This window comes from Homo sapiens, chromosome 3, assembly GCF_000001405.40.
Source record: "Homo sapiens chromosome 3, GRCh38.p14 Primary Assembly".
Classification (NCBI taxonomy): Eukaryota; Metazoa; Chordata; class Mammalia; order Primates; family Hominidae; genus Homo; species Homo sapiens.
The window spans coordinates 49,308,597-49,328,221 of record NC_000003.12 but is presented as its reverse complement, the minus strand read 5'-3'; the positions used below and the strand labels follow the sequence as shown (position 1 = coordinate 49,328,221).

Sequence of the window (19,625 nt, the reverse complement as noted above, 5' to 3'; positions counted from 1 at the left end):
CACACCCGGCTAATTTTTATATTTTTAGTAGAGACGGGGTTTCACCATGTTGGCCAGGCTGCTCTCAAACTCCTGACCTCATGATCCAACCGCCTCAGCCTCCGAAAGTGCTGATTACAGGTGTGAGCCACCACACCCAGCCTGGAGTTTTTCTTTTTTATCCTCTTCTCTCCCTCCAATTATAGAAGAAATACAAATTCCTCATAAAATCTTCATGGATAAAGAGAAAACATGGATAAAGACAAAAGTCTGCTCTGTATAATGACCAGTGACAGAATTTTGGAATTTCATTCCTGTTTCTTTCTGTAAATAATTTTCTTATTTCTGAAAAGTACATGGAAATCATGTAAAACCATCATTTCTGGGGTAAAGAGCAGTGACTTATGTGCTCTTTTCCTTTTTTAGATCCTGAGAGTCAGACCTTGAAAGAACACTTAATTGATGAATTGGACTATGTATTGGTCCCTACCGAGGCGTGGAATAAACTACTAAACTGGTACGGCTGTGTAGAAGGCCAGCAACCCATCGTCAGAAAAGTGAGTTATGTGAATTGTCCCACCTGCTGGTCACTGTCTGCAGGTGCTTTCTGTTGGACACTGACTAGTGTTTGCTAGGAAAATGAACATACCTCAGTGGTTGAATAGTGGTGCTTGAGGCCTTGTTTCTGGATCTCTTTTTTTTTTGAGATGGAGTCTTGTGCACTTGTCGCCCAGGCTGGAGTGCAACGGCACGATCTCGGCTCACTGCAGCCTCTGGCTCCCAGGTTCAAGTGATTCTCGTGCCTCAGCCTCCTGAGTAGCTGGGATTACAGGCGCCTTTCACTACGCCTGGCCAATTTTTGTATTTTTAGTAGAGACGGGGTTTCGCCATGTTGGCCAGTCTGGTCTCAAACTCTTGACCTTGTGATCCGCCCGACTCGGCCCCCCAAAGTGGTGGGATTACAGGCGTGAGCCACTACGCCCAGCCTGTTTCTGGTTCTCTTTAGGAAATTGTGGTTGTGAGTGAAGTTGCTCACCCAGAATATTATCATGAGTGGCCTCTAAACATCAGAGCTGCCCAGTGGCTTGGAATGTGCCCAGCAGCGCTGTGAGAGAACTTTCTGGAAAATTCTATGAGAGAAAGTTCACTGGGGGCATATGGACATATAGCTAATGTCCTGCATCTTGTTTATCTTAAAAAACCTTTATGATACTGCTTTTCCCTCTATGCTTAAGAGTCTTTGAGCTAGGCGCAGTGGCTCACATCTGTAATCCCAGCACTTTGGGAGGTTGAGGCGGGTGGATCACGAGGTCAGGAGATCAAGACCACCCTGGCCAACATGGTGAAACCTCGTCTCTGCTAAAAATCCAAAAATTAACTGGGTGTGGTGGCACATACCTGTAGTCCCAGCTACTCGGGAGGCTGAGGCAGGAGAATTGCTTGAACCCAGGAGACGGAGGTTGCAGTAAGCCGAGATCACCCCACTGTACTGCAGCCTGGCAACAGAGTGAGACTCGGTTGCAAAAAAAAAAAAAGAGTCTTTGATCAGGCCGTGCATGGTGGCTCACGCCTGTAATCCCAGCACTTTGGGAGGCTGAGGCAGGCGGATCACGAGGTTAAGAGATCGAGACCATCCTGGCCAACATGGTGAAATCCTGTCTCTACTAAAAATACAAAAATTAGCTGGGCATGATGGTGGGCCCCTGTAGTCCCAGCTACTCGGGAGGCTGAGGCAGGAGAATCTCTTGAACCCAGGAGGTGCAGGTTGTAATGAGCTGAGATCGCACCACTGCACTCCAGGCTGCTGACGGAGGAAGACTCCATCTCAAAAACAAAAAACAGTGAAGAATAGGCTTCTCTCTAATATCATCAAGATGCTCTTGGTCTTAGTGGGTAGAAAAAAAATATATATATATTTTTTTGCGGGGTACAGAGTCTCGCTCTGTCGCCCAGGCTGGAGTGCAGTGGAGCGATCTTGGCTCACTGCAGCCTCCACCTCCTGGGTTCAAGCGATTCCCCTGTCTCAGCCTCCTGAGTAGTTGGGATTACAGGCACATGCCACCATGCCCGGCTAATTTTTGTATTTTTCATAGAAATGGGGTTTCACCATGTTGGTCAGGCTGGTCTCAAATTCCTGACCTCAAGTGATCCACCCACCTCGGCCTCCCAGAGTGTTGAGATTACAAGCGTGAGCCACCACACGCGGCCAGAAAAAATATTTTTAAACTCTTTGTCCAGGTACTGGTAGCTTTAAAAATCTGTTCTTTTGATCCCTTGATCAGTAAAGGAAATGGATTATCATGAGTTTTCTGCTTTTTGCTTCTGATAAGATATGCTACATCCAAGACTGCCCAGCTGCAAAACCGCTATGCCCTCACCCCTGCCTCTTGTTCATAGGTTGTGGAGCATGGCCTGTTTGTCAAGCACTGCAAAGTCGAGGTGTATTTGCTGGAACTGAAGCTCTGTGAGAACAGTGACCCCACCAATGTGCTGAGTTGCCATTTCAGCAAGGCAGACACCATTGGTGAGAGGCTGGGCTGGGGTCCCTGGTATGTGGTGAGAGAGTGTAGGACATTGTGGCTGATGGGAGGGAAGAGGGCATTATTTTATATGCCCTCTTTAGATTTGTTACCCAAATCATCTCGAGCTGTAGTTGCCAGTCCTGACCTGGGGGCCTATTCCTCCAGGAATTCTTATGGAGAGAACACTGGGCCTGCTCCTTGCCCATTTGTCTATGATAATGAAGATAAGGAAATGTAGATCCAAAGAAGTTTAAAAATAACTTATTTAAAAATCTCAGCAAGGTTTACAGTGAGCTACGATCCCACCACTGCACTGCAGCCTGGGCATCAGAGCAAGATCCTGTCTCTTAAAAAAAAAAACAAATCGCAGCCAGAAAATGGTGGAGCTAGCTTTTGAAGCCATATCTGAGTTAACTCCAAAGATAAGCTTTCTCGCTTTCTATGTTGCTTTTGCGCCATAAATGAGAGACACACGTTAGCAAAGAAGCATAGGGATACTTTCCAGGCATATGAGTGCAAGAGGCCACCCATGGGAGATGATTGATTTTAAGAGGTATCAGGGGGTTGATCCAGAGCACCTGTGAGCATCTGACAAGAAAGAGGATGAGCATTAGTTTGCCATGGCTGTCTTTAGCCTTGCATGTGGACAAAGCCCCAAGTGATATTTCTGCCTGTTCCTAGCAACCATCGAGAAAGAGATGCGGAAGCTATTCAACATCCCTGCGGAGCGTGAAACACGGCTCTGGAACAAATACATGAGCAACACCTACGAGCAGTTGAGCAAGCTAGACAACACTGTCCAGGATGCTGGGCTATACCAGGGTCAGGTAGGAGGGCCCTGGCCATTCCCCAGCAGGTAGCTCTGCCCAGGGTGTGTGGCCAGATACTTTTTGCTTCTAAGCATGTTGGAAGTGCGGTGGTTTGAACTCTCCTCATTTGGTTTCCCCTTTCACTCAGGTGCTAGTAATTGAGCCTCAAAATGAAGATGGCACATGGCCCAGGCAGACCTTGCAGTCAAAGTAAGTGAATTTTTTCTCCCTTGTTGTAGGCTCACATGTGCAAAAGAGACAGTCTTTCCTAAGGCAGTACTTGTACTAAGAAAAATTGTTCTGATTCAGATGAACAATGCCTATTTTGTATATCCAGAGTTCATGCTTCTGGATGAAGACCGTGGCTTTTGGTAGCAGGGCAGCATCTAAGGGAAGCCTGTCAGGATATCTCAGCAAGGTGGCGAGCCTCTGCTCGTGGAGAATGAGAAAAGGAGGAAGGGATATGAGGGATCAAGTCTAAGGTTGCTGCTCTACCAGGAGGTTGCTTTGTTTTTGTCACGCTTTTATTTTCTCCACATGTAGTTAGAGGCCTTGATGGATAAGAGGAAGGCTAAGGCATGGGGTTTTATATGACTTAAAAGTGATAGTTGAGGCCTGAGCATGGTGGCTCATGCCTGTAAGCTCAGCACTTTGAGAGGCCGTGGGAGGTGGCTCACCTGAGGCCAGGAGTTCGAGCCCAGCCTGGTCAACATGGTAAAACCCTGTCTCTACTAAAAATACAAAAATTAGCTAGGCATGGTGGCAGGTACCTGTAATCTCAGCTACTCGGGAGGCTGAGGCTCAAGAGTCGCTTGAATCCAGGAGGTGAAGGCTGCAGTGAGCTGAGATCGCACCATTATACTCCAGCCTAGGTGACAGTGCAAGACTCTGACCCAAAAAAAACAAAAACAAAAAAAAAGTGATAGCTTGATTCTACCTGTTTCTGCCCAGTGGCCTGTTACTCATTGTTGCCCTGGGAGCTTGCTGGGTGAATTGTTCAGCTACAAAACTTGGACTAAGGACACATCTGTTTCAAGAGATGTTCATGTGGTATGTGGAACTGTGCATGTTCTTAGGGAGATAAAGAAGTGATTAATTTTCGTTATGGTATAAGTTTTGGAAATTATATCTGTGTTCCAGTAGTTATGGGAATAATGTTGCGCTCTGTCCTTTTCCCTCTGTCAGGCCTTGGACTGTGACCATTACATAGTAGTGGGCTCCTAGGTCATTTGAGAACCATGAAAACTATGAGTTCTTAAGAGAAGAACTGTTAGAACCCCTGAAGTCCAGTCATGGACTCCAGTTTAAGAAACCCCGGTTGCCAGTTGTTGACAAGATAAATAAAATAGCTGTGGTAGGCATAGCTGTGCTCATCTTCACCCTGAGATATCCATATCCTAATTCCCAGAATCTGTTTCAGAATCTGTCATTATGTCAGGTGACATGGCAAAAGGGACTTTGCAGATGGGATTAAGCACAATGGTGAGTGCCTGTAGTCCCAGCTACCTGACAGGCTGAGGTGGGAGCATTGCTTGAGTCCAGGAGTTTGAGGCTGCAGTGAGCTATGATTCTGCCATTGCCCTCCAGCCTGGGCGACAGCAAGACCCCATCTCTTTTTTTTTTTTTTTTTTTTTTTTTTTAAAAAGGCCAGGAGCAGTGGCTCATGCCTGTAATCCCAGCACTTTGGGAGGCCGAGGTGGGCGGCTCACCTGAGGTTGAGAGTTTGAGACCAGCCTGACCAACATGGAGAAACCCTGTCTCTACTAAAAATGCAAAATTAGCCAGGCGTGGTGGTGCATATCTGTAATTTCAGCTACTTGGGAGGCTGAGGCAGGAGAATCGCTTGAACCCGGGAGGCGGAGGTTGCAGGGAACTGAGATTGCACCATTGCACTCTAGCCTGGGGAACAAGAGCGAAACTCCATCTCAAAAAAAAAAGAATGTCTGTTCACCAGTGAGTGAAGACAAGCCATAAGCCATACAGTGAGAGAAGAGATTTGTAATCCATGTCTGACAAGTTGTGTCCAGAATTTTTTTTTCTTTTTTTTTTTTCCCTGTGACGGAGTCTTACTCTCTTGCCAAGGTTGGAGTGCAATGGTGCGATCTCAGCTCACTGCACCCCCACTCCCGGGTTCAAGTGACTGATGCCTCAGCCTCCCGAGCAGCTGGGACTACAAGCTCCCACCACCATGCCCAGCTAATTTTTGTATTTTTAGTAGAGACAGGGTTTTACCATGTTGGCCAGGCTGGTCTTGAACTCCTGGCCTGTAGTTATCTGCCTGCCTTAGCCTCCCAAAGTGCTGGATTACAGGCATGAGCCACCACAGCTGGTCGTATATCTAGAGTTGCAAAGAAATTCCTACTAGTCAATACAAACAAGTCAGGCAACACTAGTAAAAAAAAGAGGCAAAAATGTAGAATTATATGCACATTCTGCTACTCAACAATCCTGTTGTTAGGCATATAACCAATAGAAATATATCCCATGTTCTCTTAAATACATATTTCAGGATGTTTGTGCTAGCACTGCTTGTCATAGTTACAAACTGGAGCTAACCCAAATGTCCATCAAAAGTAAATGGATAAACTGCAGTAAGTGTAAGCACACAAGGAAATTCTGTCCAGCTTTGCACAACAGTGATGAGTCTAATGAAAAATGATGAATGAGAGAAGGTAGACACAGAGCAGGGCATAATGATTCTGTTGACTTAAAACTTTATAACAGGCAAAATTAACCTTGGGGATTCATGGTCAGAACTGGTTAGTGTTGGGAAGAATTGCGACTGAATCGTGAGAAGGACACCTAGGGGTCTGGGGGTGTCCTGTTTCTTGGTCAGGGTAGTGGTTACATGGATGTATCACTTGGTGCAAATTTCTTGATTTTATACACTCAGGGGTTTTGTTTTTTTGTTTTTTTAATAGACGGAGTCTTGATCTGTAGCCCAGGCTGGAGTCCAGTGGCATGATCTCGGTTCACTGTAACCTCTGCCTCCTGGGTTCAAGCAATTCTGTGCCTCAGCCTCCTGAGTAGCTGGGATTACAGGTGCATGCCACCCATGCACAGCCAATTTTTGTATTTTTAGTAGAGACGGGGTTTCACCATGTTGGCCAGGCTGGTCTCGAACTTCTAGCCTCAAGTGATCCGCCTGCCTCGGCCTCCCAAAATGCTGGGATTACAGGCATAAGCCACGGCGCCCGGCCAAAAAAAATCAATAATAGGCCAGGTGCGGTGGCTGGCCAACATGCTGAAACCCCATCTCTTAAAAAATAGAAGAAAATTAGCCCGGTGCAGTGGCACATGCCTGTAATCGTAGCTACTGGGGAGGCTGAGGCATGAGAATGGTGGTGGGGATTGCAGTGAGCCTAGATCGTGCCACTGCACTCCAGCTTGGGCGATACAGTGAGACTCTGTCTCAGGAGAAAAAAAAAAAAAAGGTACAATAATAATCAAGGTTTAAGAAAGCAACTAGTATCTATAATATTCCAGAGATAAATTCTGGGTAATTCCAACATAGGTGAGGAATTAGTATAGAGCAGAGAGAGATGAGAATGTCCAGAACTACTATTCTTGAGGATGAGAAAGGTGAACAATTGTAAGTTTATGTAATTTATGGGGAAAAATAAAAATAGAGATCCTAATAAGTTAATGGAACAACTAACAGAAACGGAAAATTGAATGTATAACTTTGAAACATACTACGTCAGTTAGGAAAGGCTTGCTGGCAGGTAAGAAAAATCTGCAAATTAGCGTATTAAGCAAGATGGAGGCTTACATCTTTCTGAAAAGAATTTCTGACGTAGGCAGTCAATCCATTGCTGACGTAGCAGCTCCATGGCAATATTAAACCCAGCTGACCTACCCCTTCCTTTTTAGGACATTTCTCAGATATCATACATCAAACCTCCTTTGTATCTCATTGGCTAATCATATGACAATACCTGGCTTTCAGGAAGGCTGGGATGTACTGTATAGCAGGACTGCATCATGTCCAGCTAAAAACTGGGGTTCTCAAACTAAGGAAGGAGGGGAAAATAGCTAGCAGGAGGCGACTAGCAAACTGCCACACCTGCAAAAGGAAAATTAATGGAAGGCAAAAATGAAGGGGGGAAAAAATAAGAAGTATGGTAATTAGAAAGCATGTTAGAACATGTGGAAAAAGGGGGAAAAAAAAGAAACCTGAAATAAGGAGGCTGAATTAAATTCAGTGAAGTCTAATAACAGCATTAGAATCACTGTAGATGAGTTAAATTTACCAAACTAAAGACAAACTCTCAGATCAGACTTTAAAAGACAAACCACACCAGGGATACAGTGGTATGTGCCTATAGTCCTAGCTACTCAGAAGGCTGAGGGAGGAAGCTTGCTTGAGCCCAGGAGTTCGAAGTTACCGTGAGCCACGATTGCATCATTGCACTCCAGCCTGGACGACAGAGTGAGATGCTGTCTCTTTTTCTTTTTCTTTTTTGTTTGAGATGGAGTTTCACTCTTGTTGCCCAGGTTGGAGTGTAATGGCGCGATCTTGGCTCACTGCAACCTCTGCCTCCCAGGTTCAAGCAATTCTCCTGCCTCAGCCTCTCGAGTAGCTGGGATTACAGGCATGCGCCACCACGCCCGGCTAATTTTGTATTTTTAGTAGAGACAGGGTTTCTCCATGTTGGTCAGGCTGGAGACCCTGTCTCTTGGAAAAAAAGAGTCAGGCATGGTGGCTTATACCTGTAATCCCAACATTTTGGAAAGCTGAGGTGGGAGGATTGCTTGAGGATAGGAGTTTGAGACCAGCCTGGTCAACATAGCAAGACTCCTGTCTCTACAAAATTTTTTTTAAAAATTAGCTGGGCATGGTAGCTTGTGCCTGCAGTTCCAGCTTCTTGGGAGGCTGAGGTGGGAGGATCCCTTGAGCACAGGAGTTTGAGGCTGTAGTGAGCTATAATTGTGCACTGCACTGCAGCCTGGGTGACAGAGCAAGAGCTTGTCTCAAAACACAAGAAAACAAAACAAGGCTGGGCACAGTGGCTCATGGCCTGTAATCCCACTTTGGGAGGCGGAGGTGGGTGGATCACTTGAGGTCAGGAGTTCAAGACCAGCCTGGTGAACATAGCGAGACCCCCCTATCTACTAAAAGTACAGAAAATTAGCCAGGAGTGGTGGCGTGCACCTGTAATCCCAGCTACTTGGGAGGCTGAGGCAGGAGAATTGCTTGAACTCAGGAGGTGGAGGTTGTAGTGAGCTGAGATGGCACCATTGCACTCCAGCCTGCGTGACAGAGCAAGACTCCATCTCAGAAAACAAACAAACAAACAAACAAACAAACATGTTTAGTAATACATTGTGTGTCAAAGACACAGAGAAGTTGAAATTGAGGGAATGGAAATAGTGGCTTATGCCTGTAATCCCAGCACTTTGGGAGGCAGAGGCAGGCACATCACGAGGTCAAGAGATCAAGACCATCCTGGGCCAATATGGTGAAACCCCGTCTCTACTAAAAATACAAAAAAATTAGCTGGGTGTGATGGCATGCTCCTGTAGTCCCAGCTACTCGGGAGGCTGAGGCAGGAGAATCTCTTGAACCCGGGAGGCGGAGGTTGCGGTCAGCCGAGATCGCGCCACTGCACTCCAGCCTGGGCAACAGAGCAAGACTCCGTCTCAAAAAATAACAAGAAAACGTACATCAAGGGAATATGTCATCGAAGGAAGGTCACTAGTTGGCTTAATAACTTTTTTAAAACCTACCAATAGAGTCAGTTTTATATATTTCTTTTTTTTTTTTTTTGAGATGCAGTCTTGCTCTGTCACCCAAGCAGGAGTGCAGTGGCGCAATCCCTCCCAAGGTGGTGGAATTACAGGTGTGAGCCACCATGCCTGGCCAATGTATTTCTATTTATTTATTTATCCCTCAACAGTCCTCCCTCCAATTTAATATATTTCTTGGCAGAGGATAGTAAATGTTTCCATGGATGGATTCCTTGGTGGTGGTGATGGTGGTTTGTTTTTTTTTTTTTTTTGAGGCAGAGTCTTGCTCTGTCACCCAGGCTGGAGTGCAGTGGCACGATCTCGGCTCACTGCAACCTCTGCCTCTCAGGTTCAAGCGATTCTCCTGCCTCAGCCTCCTGAGCAGCTGGGATTACGGGTTCGTGCCACCACGCCCGGCTAATTTTTTGTATTTTTAGTAGAGATGGGATTTCACCACGTTGGCCAGGCTGGTCTCGAACTCCTGGCCTCAGGTGATCCACCCGCCTTGGCGTCCCAGAGTGCTGGGATTACAGGCGTGAGCCACCACACCTGGCCGGTTGTTTATATTTAATTGTCTTTTTTTCACTAATGAGGACCACCTTGTAAATTCTGGGCATTTTCAGAGTTTTCTCTTCCATGTGAATTGCTCCAGCTAACTTAATATTAGTTTCTCAAGGGTTTGTGTAGACCTGGCTTTGTCTCTTTCCATCTGTTTCTCTCTTTCCCTTTAACGTCACTTGCCTGAGGTCTATAAGGCCCTTTAAGGTTGCCAGCCCAGAGCCAGAAGAGATTGGTGTCCCTGAAGTTAAGAAAGCCACCTTTGCCTACAGATGGTGTTCACAGTGTTGGTGTGGAGTCACAGCTTGACTTTTGGTAAGGCAGCAAGTATTCTGACTGTTAAGAGTTTATTGTAGCTGGGCACTGGTGGCTCATGCCTGTAATCCCAGCAGTTTGAGAGGCTGATGTGGGAAGATTGCTTGAGCCCAGGAGTTTGAGACCATCCTAGGCAACATAATGTGACCCTGTCTCTTAAAAAAATAAAATTAGGTCAGGCACGGTGGCTCATGCCTATAATCCCAGCACTTTGGGAGGCCAAGGCGGGCGGATCACCTAAGGTCAGGAGTTCAAGACCAGTCTGGCCAACATGGTGAAACCCTGTCTCTACTAAAAATGCAAAAATTAGCCAGGCGTGGTGGCGTGTGCCTGTAATCCCAGCTACCTGGGAGCCTGAGGCAAGAGACTCGCTTAAACCCAGGAGGCAGAGGTTGCAGTGAGCTGAGACTTCACCATTGCTTTCCAGCCTGGGCAACAAGAGTGAAACTCCATCTCAGGCTGGGCGCAGTGGCTCATGCCTGTAATCCCAGCACTTTGGGAGGCCGAGGCGGGCGGATCACGAGGTCAGGAGATTGAGACCATCCTGGCTAACACAGTGAAACCCCGTCTCTACTAAAAATACTTAAAAAAAAAAAAAAACACCACGGGCATGGTGGCAGGCGCCTGTAGTCCCAGCTACTCGGGAGGCTGAGGCAGGAGAATGATGTGAACCCAGGAGGCGGAGCATGCAGTGAGCCGATATCACGCCACTGCACTCCAGGCTGGGCAACAGAGTAAGACTGTTGTCTCAAAAAAAAAAAAAAAACAAACAAACAAAAAACAAAACAAAACAAAAAAAGAGTGAAACTCCATCTCAAAAAAAAAAATAGGGGGCCCCAGGAGATGTTGACCCAGCAGGGCATGGCGCTGCAGAACTACGACAACAAGCTGGTCAAATGCATAGAGGAGCTATGCCAGAAGCAGGAGGAGCTGTGCTGGCAGATCCAGCAGGAGGAGGACAAGAAACAGCGGCTGCAGAATGAGGTGAGGCAGCTGACAGAGAAGCTGGCCTGCGTCAACGAGAAGCTGGCCCGCGTCAACGAGAACCTGGCACGCAAGATTGCCTCTTGCAGTAAGTTCTACCAGACCATCGCGGAGACGGAGGCCACCTACCTCAAGATGCTGGAGAGCTCCCAGACTTTGCTCAGTGTCCTGAAGAGGGAAGCTGGGAACCTGACCAAGGCTACAGCCTCAGACCAGAAAAGTAGTGGTGGCAGGGACAGCTGACCAGACCATGGGCAGGGCCTGCCTCTGTGCGCCCCTCAACTCAGCCCCAGCAAGTCTGTCCACAGAGCGTCTTCTTCATGGCAGCAGCTGCCTTCTTTCACTGTCTCAGGTGCTAAGAGGGGCAGCTGCCAACCTCCACTGGCATCAGTGACAAGCCCGGGGCACAGCCTGTGGGTCCTGGCTTTGTGCTCACACAGGCTATGGGGAGGGTGGGCTCTAGGTCAGCTCTGCAAGGGGCCTGTCTCTGCGGCACCCACACTCCTGGGCTGCCAGGGAGGTCCTGGTTGTAGTCTGAGCACCATGGAGGTCCCCTCAGCCAGCAGAGGCCCAGGGCAGGGGGCAGGGGTTCTCCTTCATCCCAGAACCCAAACCTCAGGGCTCACCCCTGTGGCCTGTGACTGTCAATAAAGATTATCTTTGTAAAAATAAATAAATGATTGAATGAATGAATGAAAAATAAGTTAACCGGGCTTGGTGGCTTACGCCTATAATTCTAGCACTTTGGGAGGCTGAGGCGGGCAGATCACTTGAGGCCAGGAGTTCGAGACTAGCCTGGCCAACATGGTAAAACCCTGTCTCTACTAAAAATAAAAAAATAGCCAGGCATAGTGGCATGCACCTGTAATTCCAGCTACTCGGGAGGCTGAGGCATGAGAATTGCTTGAACTGGGGAGGCTGAGGCATGAGAATTGCTTGAACTGGGGAGGTGAAGTCTGCAGTGAGCTGAGATTGGACCACTGCACTCCAGCCTGGGTGACAGAGTGAGACACTCTCAAAATAAATAAATAAAGTTAAATTAAAAGAGTTTATCATTATCTTAATTATAATTCCAGGTACCAGACGCTGGATACTTGAGGTCAGTCTTTATTTTATTTTTTTTAGATGAAGTCTCGCTCTCATTTCCCAGTCTGGAGTGCAATGGCGCGATCTCGGCTCACTGCAACCTCCACCTCCCGGGTTCAAGTGATTCTCCTGCCTCAGCCTCTGAGTAGATGGAATTACAGGCATGTGCCACCATGCCTGGCTAATTTTGTATTTTTAGTAGAGATGGGGTTCCTCTGTGTTGGTCAGACTGGTCTCGGACTCCCAACCTCATGTGATCCGCCCACCTCAGCCTCCCAAAGTGCTGGGATTACAGGCGTGAGCCACCACGCCTGGCCTAGTCTTAAAGGATAGGATAGATTCATCCTCAGAGCAGCATTCAGTCTGGAGAACATCTGAGAAGCAAGTGGAGTGCAGTAGATTAAGGAGGGCAGGGATGGGCTTTGCCTGGTTTGTCCAGAGCCTCACTTTGGGCCTGGGCACAGGGATGTTACAGGGTCCCACCATGGTATCAGGCACACGTTTGAGTTGTAATTGATAATCACGTGACATGCCTGGGGAGCAGGACTTACCAGTAGAAAGGTGCCTGGGAGTCCAGAGGCTTGACTACAGTGTCTCTTAGGAGCAGAGGTATCCTTGTTTGGAGGCATAGTGTCTGTTTTCAGAGTGTGGCATGAGACCCAGTCACAAATCAGAGTGAGATCTTGCTTACCTAATATATATGCCTGAGATTCAGACATTTCTCCTGGCTTCCTATATTCCAGCCTGTAATGCCCAGGGTTTGTTCCACAGTTGCCTGAAGGTCTGGAGACAAGTCCCTGCCCTAGTGCTCAGCATTTCCCAGATTATAGTAAATTTTCTGAAGAGAAGTTTTGCTTCTGACTTGTCTGTCAAAGATAGAGTATTTTTTAATAGATAGGGTCTTGCTTTGTTGCCCAGACTGGAATGCAATGGCATGATCATAGTTCACTGCAACCTCAAACTCCTGGGATCAAGGGATCCTCTCGGCTTAGCCTCCCGAGTAGCTAGGACTGCAGGCACGTGCTGCTATGCCTGGCTTTTTCTGTTCTGTAAAGAGAAGTTCAGCCTCCCAAAGTGCTGGGATTGTAAGCATGAGCCACTGCACCCAGCCTAAGGATAGAGTTTTTTTTTTTTTAAATCTTACTGTGTTAATTTTCAAGCATATAAAAAGTATCCTTATATGCCCTTAATTTGGTTTCTTTTTGATTGAATTTACTATGAAAACTGGCAGTATTTTCTAGAACATTTTAAACATCAAATAAAATTTTTCTTTAATTTCTATCACCCTGAAATGTTGTCTGTTTAAGAAATTGACAGGTCTTGGATATCTCAAATGATTTGTATGGATTTTTGCCCTTTTTAAAAATAAATAAATAAATAGAGACAGGGTCTTGCCATGTTGACCAGGTTGATCTTGAACTCTTGGCCTCAAGCAGTCCTCCCACCTTGGCCTCCCAAAGTGCTAAGATTACAGGCATGAGCCATCAGGCCCGGCCGATTTTTGCCCTTTTAAGCTCAAGAAAATAGATAAGTTATCAATGAATAGTTACTGAGAAGAGGAGTGCCATACTATATATCTTGAGGTTCTGTGCATCAGAATTTGAATTTCAGTATTCTGTCTTACCTCCCTCAGTGCTGAGATGACTGAGTCTGCCATTGCATATCAGACCAGCCTTGGGCAGCAGACTTTCTTTATGCATAAGAGGCTAGGAAATCACATTGGACATCTCACTGGACAGGATTGAACACATGCATGCTTAAGTCTCCCATGTGGTGAATGAGAGTACCCTTGGCTGTGGTGAATCTCACTTAGTGCAGCTGCTTGAGTTCTTGGACTCCTTTGCAGCATGAGGATGAAGCTGTGTGAACCAAATCCTCTTTAGGATTAGAGAAGGGTACATTTCCTTATGGGAAGGTGAGAGACTGAGGAGCCCTCATTCTCCCTTACTGTGACTGCATTGTGGAGCAAACCTCAGTTCAGGTACCTGCTTAGGCCCTATATAATTTCTTGATGTGCCCATTGCTGGTATACAAGATCATACTTGTTTTTGCTGCCATGTTTTTCTTCTCACAGGGAAGCCAAGTTGAGATCAGATCCCATGAGGGTGAACACTGTGTGGGAACAGTACATCTTCTTAGTCATTTTCTGTATTCTAAAAATAACCCAGTATTCTATAAGGGAAATACCAGTTTTATATTTGAAACAATGGAGGAGGATTCACTTTCTTCTTTGGCTGAGCGCAGTGGCTCATGTATGTAATCCCAGCCCTTTGGGAGGCTGAGGCAGGAGGGTTGCTTGAGTCCAGGAGTTTGAGACCAGCCTGGGCAACATAAGGAGACTGTTGCTATGGATTACCAAAAAAAAAAGGTAAAAATTAAAAACTTTAAAATAAGATTTACTTTCTTCCTTATGTCCTTATATAGATTCTAGCAGATTGATGAAATTGATAGCAATTTAAAATTTGGGCAATTAGCCCTTGAATTAATTTGAAAGTAGAAATCTAAAATAAGAGCCTGAAAAATATTAAAACATGAGTTTGAAACAGAGAGGTTACACTGGCAAATTTGAAGAAACAAAATTCTCCATAGAAGGCGTAGTGAAACCAAATTGCCATTTTTCTGTTCTCATGTCCTTATATCCAGCTATTTAATTTGCATCCAGCCTTTTTGGGGAAAGTCATCTCTTATTGCCATTTTTCTTTTTTTTTTTGAGATGGAGTTTTGTTCTTGTTGCCCAGGCTGGAATGCAATGGCACGATCTCGGCCCACTACAACCTCCGCCTCCTGGGTTCAAGCAGTTCTCCTGCCTCAGCCTCCCAAGTAGCTGGGATTACAGGCATGCGCCACTAGGCCTGGCTAATTTTTTTTATTTTTAGTAGAGACGGGGTTCCACCACGTTGGTAAGGCTAGACTCGAACTCCTGACCTCAAGTGATCCACCCACCTCAGCCTCCCAAAGAGGTGGGATTATAGGCGTGAGCTACCTCGCCTGGCCTTATTGCCATTTTTCTTTGCCTTTCACTAATAATTTTTAAAATTCAGGGAAGCAGTCCAGATGTGGTGGTTCACACCTATAATCCCAGCACTTTGGGAGGCCAAGGCAGGCAGATCACAAGGTCAAGAGCTTGAGACCATTCTGGCCAACATGGTGAAACCCTGTCTCTACTAAAAATACAAAAAAATTAGCTGGGTGTGGTGGCACGCGCCTGTAGTCCCAGCTACTCGGGAGGCTGAGGCAGGAGAATTGTTTGAACCCGGGAGGCGGAGGTTGCAGTGAGCCAAGATTGTGCCACTGCACTCCAGCCTGGCGAGAGAATGAGACTCCGTCTCAAAAAAAAAAAAGAAAAAAAAAAAGAAAAAAAATGTAGGGAAGTTTATGATTTGTAAATCAAACCAGGATGCTTGAAGATGAACCTTGTGGGGTTTTTTTTGTTGTTTTTTTTTAAGAGACAGAGTCTCACTCTGTCACCTAGGCTGGAGTGCAGTGGCACGATCTCGGCTCACTGCAACCTCCGCCTCCCGGTTTCACGCAATTCTCCTGCCCCTCAGCCTCCCCAGTAGCTGGGACTACAGGCACATGCTGCCATGCCTGGCTAATTTCTTTATTTTCTTTTTTTTTGAGACAGAGTTTCGTTCTTTTTGCCCAGGCTGGAGTGCAATGGCGCGATCTTGGCTCACTGCAACTTCTGCCTCCCGGGTTCAAGCAATTCTCCTGCCTCAGCTTCCCGAGTAGCGCCATCACATCTGGCTAATTTTTTTTTTTTTGAGATGGAGTCTCACTCTGTCACCAAGCTGGAGTGCGGTGGTGCAGTCTCGGCTTACTCCCGGGTTCAAGTGATGCTTCTGCCCCAGCCTCCCGAGTGGCTGGGATGACAGGCGCCCGCCACCATGTCCAGATAATTTTTGTATTTTTAGTAGAGATGTGGTTTCACTGTGTCTTGAACTCCTGACCTCATGGCCAGGCTGGTCTTGAATTCCTGACCTTGTGATCGTGACCTCATGATCCGCCAGCCTCGGCCTCCCAAAGTGCTGGGATTACAAGGGTGAGCCACCTCACCCAGCCTAATTTTGTATTTTTAGTAGTGACGGGGTTTCTCCATGTTGGTCAGGCTGGTCTCAAACTCCTGACCTCAGGTGATCCGTCTGCCTCGGCCTCCCAAAGTGCTGAGATTACAGGCATGAGCCACCACGCGCGACCTGGCTAATTTCTTTTGCATTTTAGTAGAGACAGGGTTTCACTGTGTTGCCCAGGCTGGTCTCGAACTCCTGAGCTCAGGCAATCTGCCTGCCTCAGCCTCCCAAAGTACTAGGATTACAGGCACGAGCCACTGCGCCTGGTCAGCCTTGTGGTTTTTCACACTGAAAGGGTATGTGGTGGTGTGGACTGATGTGACAGGAAGACCAGTTAATTTGTGGACTCTCACTTAAATAAAGTTTACCTTGAAGTAGTATGAATACAGGCTTTTTGTAATTTATTTTAACTTAATATGAAGAATATTTATTCCTTGAGAAGCAACCTAAGGCATTAAATAGGGCTTGCTCTTTGCAAAAAGTCAGTAGCATTGTTTCTGCTTCTCTCTCCCAGATCAAGCACTGCGCCTAGCAGAAATTTTACTACCTCTCCAAAATCATCAGCAAGTCCCTATTCCTCAGTGTCTGCCTCTCTCATTGCAAATGGTGATAGCACTAGCACCTGTGGGATGCACAGTTCCGGTGTCAGCAGGGGGTAAGAGCAGGTCCTTTCACTCTGCTTCCTTTCCCGTGGTCCTTTCCCAGGCTGTATCTTGAGAGCTCATCTGCTGCTCCACTAAGCATAGTGGGGTTAGAGTTCCTCATGGGAACATGCTACATGTAGTTTCTCACTCCATTTCATACCTACAGTAAAGTGTGCTTCCAAGTTCTGATCTGTGTTGCTTGTCCTCCTGTGAGCTGGTGTTTTCCCCACAGCCTACATCACAGGTAGTCTCGGAGGGTGGGGGGGTCACTGCATTTGTTTATGAAGGGATGGGCTGGCCCGTATGGCAGAATAGTTGTGAAGGGACAGTGCTCAGCTGTGGATGGCCGTGATCCTTTCTCCAGGCATTTCAGGCACACCTGCCACATGGCATAGATGTGGGGAAGAGGGTGAATGGGGTGAGGAAGTGTGCATGAACTTTCAGGGCCAGTCAAGCCTGGGTGTGGCCTGGTGGGTAGTAGCAGATGCAAGCTCTTAATAACTAAAATGGTCTTCCCTAAAGTCACCTGGCAAAATTAGCATTTGCCAAAGCCTAACAGAGGAAAATTCAAGTAGTGTTTCTTTCCTTAAGGATGTGCTTACCAGCTGCTAGTGTGTCAAGTAAAGGGTGGGGCAGGTCTGGAGGGCAGGGGAGGGAGTAGAGGGAATTTGCATCATGGGCTTACTACCACACAAGTTCTAGAGGCCCCCATAGGAGCCTCAAAAAGCATCTTGAGGGCATGTGTTATGCACTTGCTTTTATTGCTGATGTGTGTTGTGTTTTCCAGTGGATCTGGCTTTTCTGCTTCGTATAATTGTCAGGAGCCACCATCCTCTCATATACAACCTGGGCTCTGTGGACTTGGAAACCTGGGAAACACCTGCTTCATGAACTCCGCTTTGCAGGTAGAGGAGAGAACTTCCATTCAAATAACACAGCATCTTGAGGTTTGGGTGGAAGTGGCCTGCAAAGGTACTGGGTGGATCCTCTCCCAGGAGTCCCTGCCTACCCCTTGTTGGTGCTTCAGTAGTCTCTGCTAGGGCATCTCCCACTAGGTGGTATAGAATGGCTTCATCAGTGTTTGTGGACCCCAGATGTCTTTGTAGTCAGCTCTGTGTTTGGTTTTATAGTAAGATTATTTTGAATTTTACTGACTGTTGAGGTATGATCTCTCTAGAAAATATTGGAGTGCATCCCTGATTGGTCTCTGATGGGATGAGGAAAACTTACAGCAGGTGATGCCAAGCTCAATTATGCTTTGCTGAAGGCTGACTACCTTTTCACTAAAAATAGCTGTCCCAGCCGGGCGCAGTGGCTCACGCCTGTAATCCCAGCACTTTGGGAGGCAGAGGCGGGTGGATCACCTGGCCAATGTGGTGAAACCCCCATCTCTACTAATGATACAAAAATTAGCTGGGTGTGGTGGCATGCATCTGTAGTCCCAGCTACTCAGGAGGCTGAGGCAGGAGAATCACTTGAACCTGGGAGGCGGAGGTTGCAGTGAGCTGAGATTACGCCACTGCACTCTAGCCTGGGCAACAGAGTGAGACTCTGTCTCAAAAAAAAAAAAAAAAAAAAAAAGATTAAAAAAAAGTCCGGGGGCAGCACTGTGGCTCACGCCTGTAATCCCAGCACTTTGGGAGGCTAAGGCGGGTGGATAACCTGAGGTCAGGAGTTCGAGACCAGCCTAGCCAACATGGCAAAACCCCATCTCTACTAAAAATACAAAAATTAGCCGGGTGTGGTGGCACACGCCTGTAATCCAAGCTTCTTGGGAGGCTGAGGCAGGAGAATCGCTTGAACCCAGGAGACGGAGGTTGCAGTGAGCCGAGATTGCGCCATTGTATTCCAGCCTGGGCAACAAGAGTGAAACTCCGTTTCAAAAAAAAAAAAAAAAAAAAAAAAGCTGTCCCGCCCCATGCTCCTTACTAGAGAAAATCCAAAATCCCCTCTTTGAAACTTGCTTATTGGCCAGGCGCAATGGCTCACACCTGTAATCACAACTCTGGGAGGCTGAGGGGGTAGTATTGCTTGAGGCCAGGAGTTTGAAGCCAGCCTGAGCATCATAGCGAGACCCTGTCTCAAAATGGAAAAGAAAATAAACCTTGTTTATTAATTCATCAAATATTTATTGGGCATATATTATGTGACAGCACTGTAATAGTCATGGGCTGCAAGGAGTTAAAGTCCAGCTTCAAAGTTAGGAGGGCACAGTTCCCAAGACTGCCCTCATTTCCGAAACCAACTGCAAGTTTGCAGGTTTCCAAGACCACCCTTAGTTTTGGTAATTTGTTTAGAAGGAGTCACGGAATTTACTTAAAGTTATTATACTCATGATGATGGTTTACTGTAGTGAGAGGATGTAGACTAAAATCAGCCAAGGGAAGAGGCATATAGGGCAGAGGTCAGGAGGATCAAAATGTAGAGCTTCTGTTGTTTTCTACCTATGGAGTCAGTACATGGTACTTTCCTTTTTTTTTTTTTTTTTTTTGAGACAGCATCTCTTTCTCTGTTGCCCAGGCTGGAGTGCAGTCGCGCAATCTTGACGCACTGCAACCTCCACCTCCTGGGTTTAAGCAATTCTCATGCCTCAGCCTCCCGAGTAGCTGGGATTACAGGCACACACCACCACGCCTGGCTAATTTTTGTATTTTTAGTAGAGACAGGATTTCACCATGTTGGCTAACCAGGCTGGTCTCAAACTCCCGGCCTCAGGTGATCCACCCACCTCAGCCTCCCAAAGTGCTGGGATTACAGGCATGAGCCACCGTGCCTGGCCAGAACATGGTGATTTCCTGGCATTGATGTGTAATGATGCATATGGAGTACTGCAAACTATGGAAGCTCACGTGAGCTTCAGCGTCCAGAATTTTTACTGGGGCTTCATTATATAAATATGATTGACTGGCAGGGTGTGGTGGCTCACGC

The 19,625-nt window shown here is 46.7% G+C and overlaps 2 protein-coding genes across 4 annotated transcripts in view, besides 3 other annotated features; both read left to right on the top strand.

Annotated features, from left to right (window-relative positions):
* USP4 (ubiquitin specific peptidase 4) overlaps window positions 1-19,625 on the top strand; it is a 62,910-nt gene that overhangs the window by 11,832 nt on the left and 31,453 nt on the right. The window contains exons 3-8 of one of the 3 annotated variants that reach the window (NM_003363.4): window positions 406-536; window positions 2,377-2,503; window positions 3,183-3,328; window positions 3,459-3,520; window positions 16,568-16,708; window positions 17,485-17,602. In NM_003363.4, the coding sequence (NP_003354.2) occupies window positions 406-536; window positions 2,377-2,503; window positions 3,183-3,328; window positions 3,459-3,520; window positions 16,568-16,708; window positions 17,485-17,602 (725 nt within the window). Of the gene's footprint in view, window positions 1-405; window positions 537-2,376; window positions 2,504-3,182; window positions 3,329-3,458; window positions 3,521-15,608; window positions 16,438-16,567; window positions 16,709-17,484; window positions 17,603-19,625 lie in introns of those variants that run through there. The other 2 variants (NM_199443.3, NM_001251877.2) reach the window with 2 other exon arrangements.
* LOC124906236 (Sjoegren syndrome nuclear autoantigen 1 homolog) lies at window positions 9,160-11,570 on the top strand. Its single transcript, XM_047449404.1, has 2 exons — window positions 9,160-9,913; window positions 10,744-11,570. The coding sequence occupies exon 2, from the start codon at window positions 10,757-10,759 to the stop codon at window positions 11,138-11,140; it is 384 nt and encodes a 127-aa protein (XP_047305360.1). The 5' UTR covers window positions 9,160-9,913; window positions 10,744-10,756; the 3' UTR covers window positions 11,141-11,570.
* Window positions 10,729-11,228: an enhancer, noted in NCBI's record as "H3K4me1 hESC enhancer chr3:49354427-49354926 (GRCh37/hg19 assembly coordinates)". NCBI's record gives its function as "activates a minimal SCP1, AML or CMV promoter by ChIP-STARR-seq in primed H9 embryonic stem cells {active_cell/tissue: H9 hESC(primed)}" and the evidence as "EXISTENCE:reporter gene assay evidence [ECO:0000049][PMID:30033119]".
* Window positions 11,229-11,730: an enhancer, noted in NCBI's record as "H3K4me1 hESC enhancer chr3:49353925-49354426 (GRCh37/hg19 assembly coordinates)". NCBI's record gives its function as "activates a minimal SCP1, AML or CMV promoter by ChIP-STARR-seq in primed H9 embryonic stem cells {active_cell/tissue: H9 hESC(primed)}" and the evidence as "EXISTENCE:reporter gene assay evidence [ECO:0000049][PMID:30033119]".
* Window positions 13,651-13,700: an enhancer, noted in NCBI's record as "active region_19860". NCBI's record gives its function as "activates an Ori minimal core promoter by ATAC-STARR-seq in GM12878 lymphoblastoid cells {active_cell/tissue: GM12878}" and the evidence as "EXISTENCE:reporter gene assay evidence [ECO:0000049][PMID:35858748]".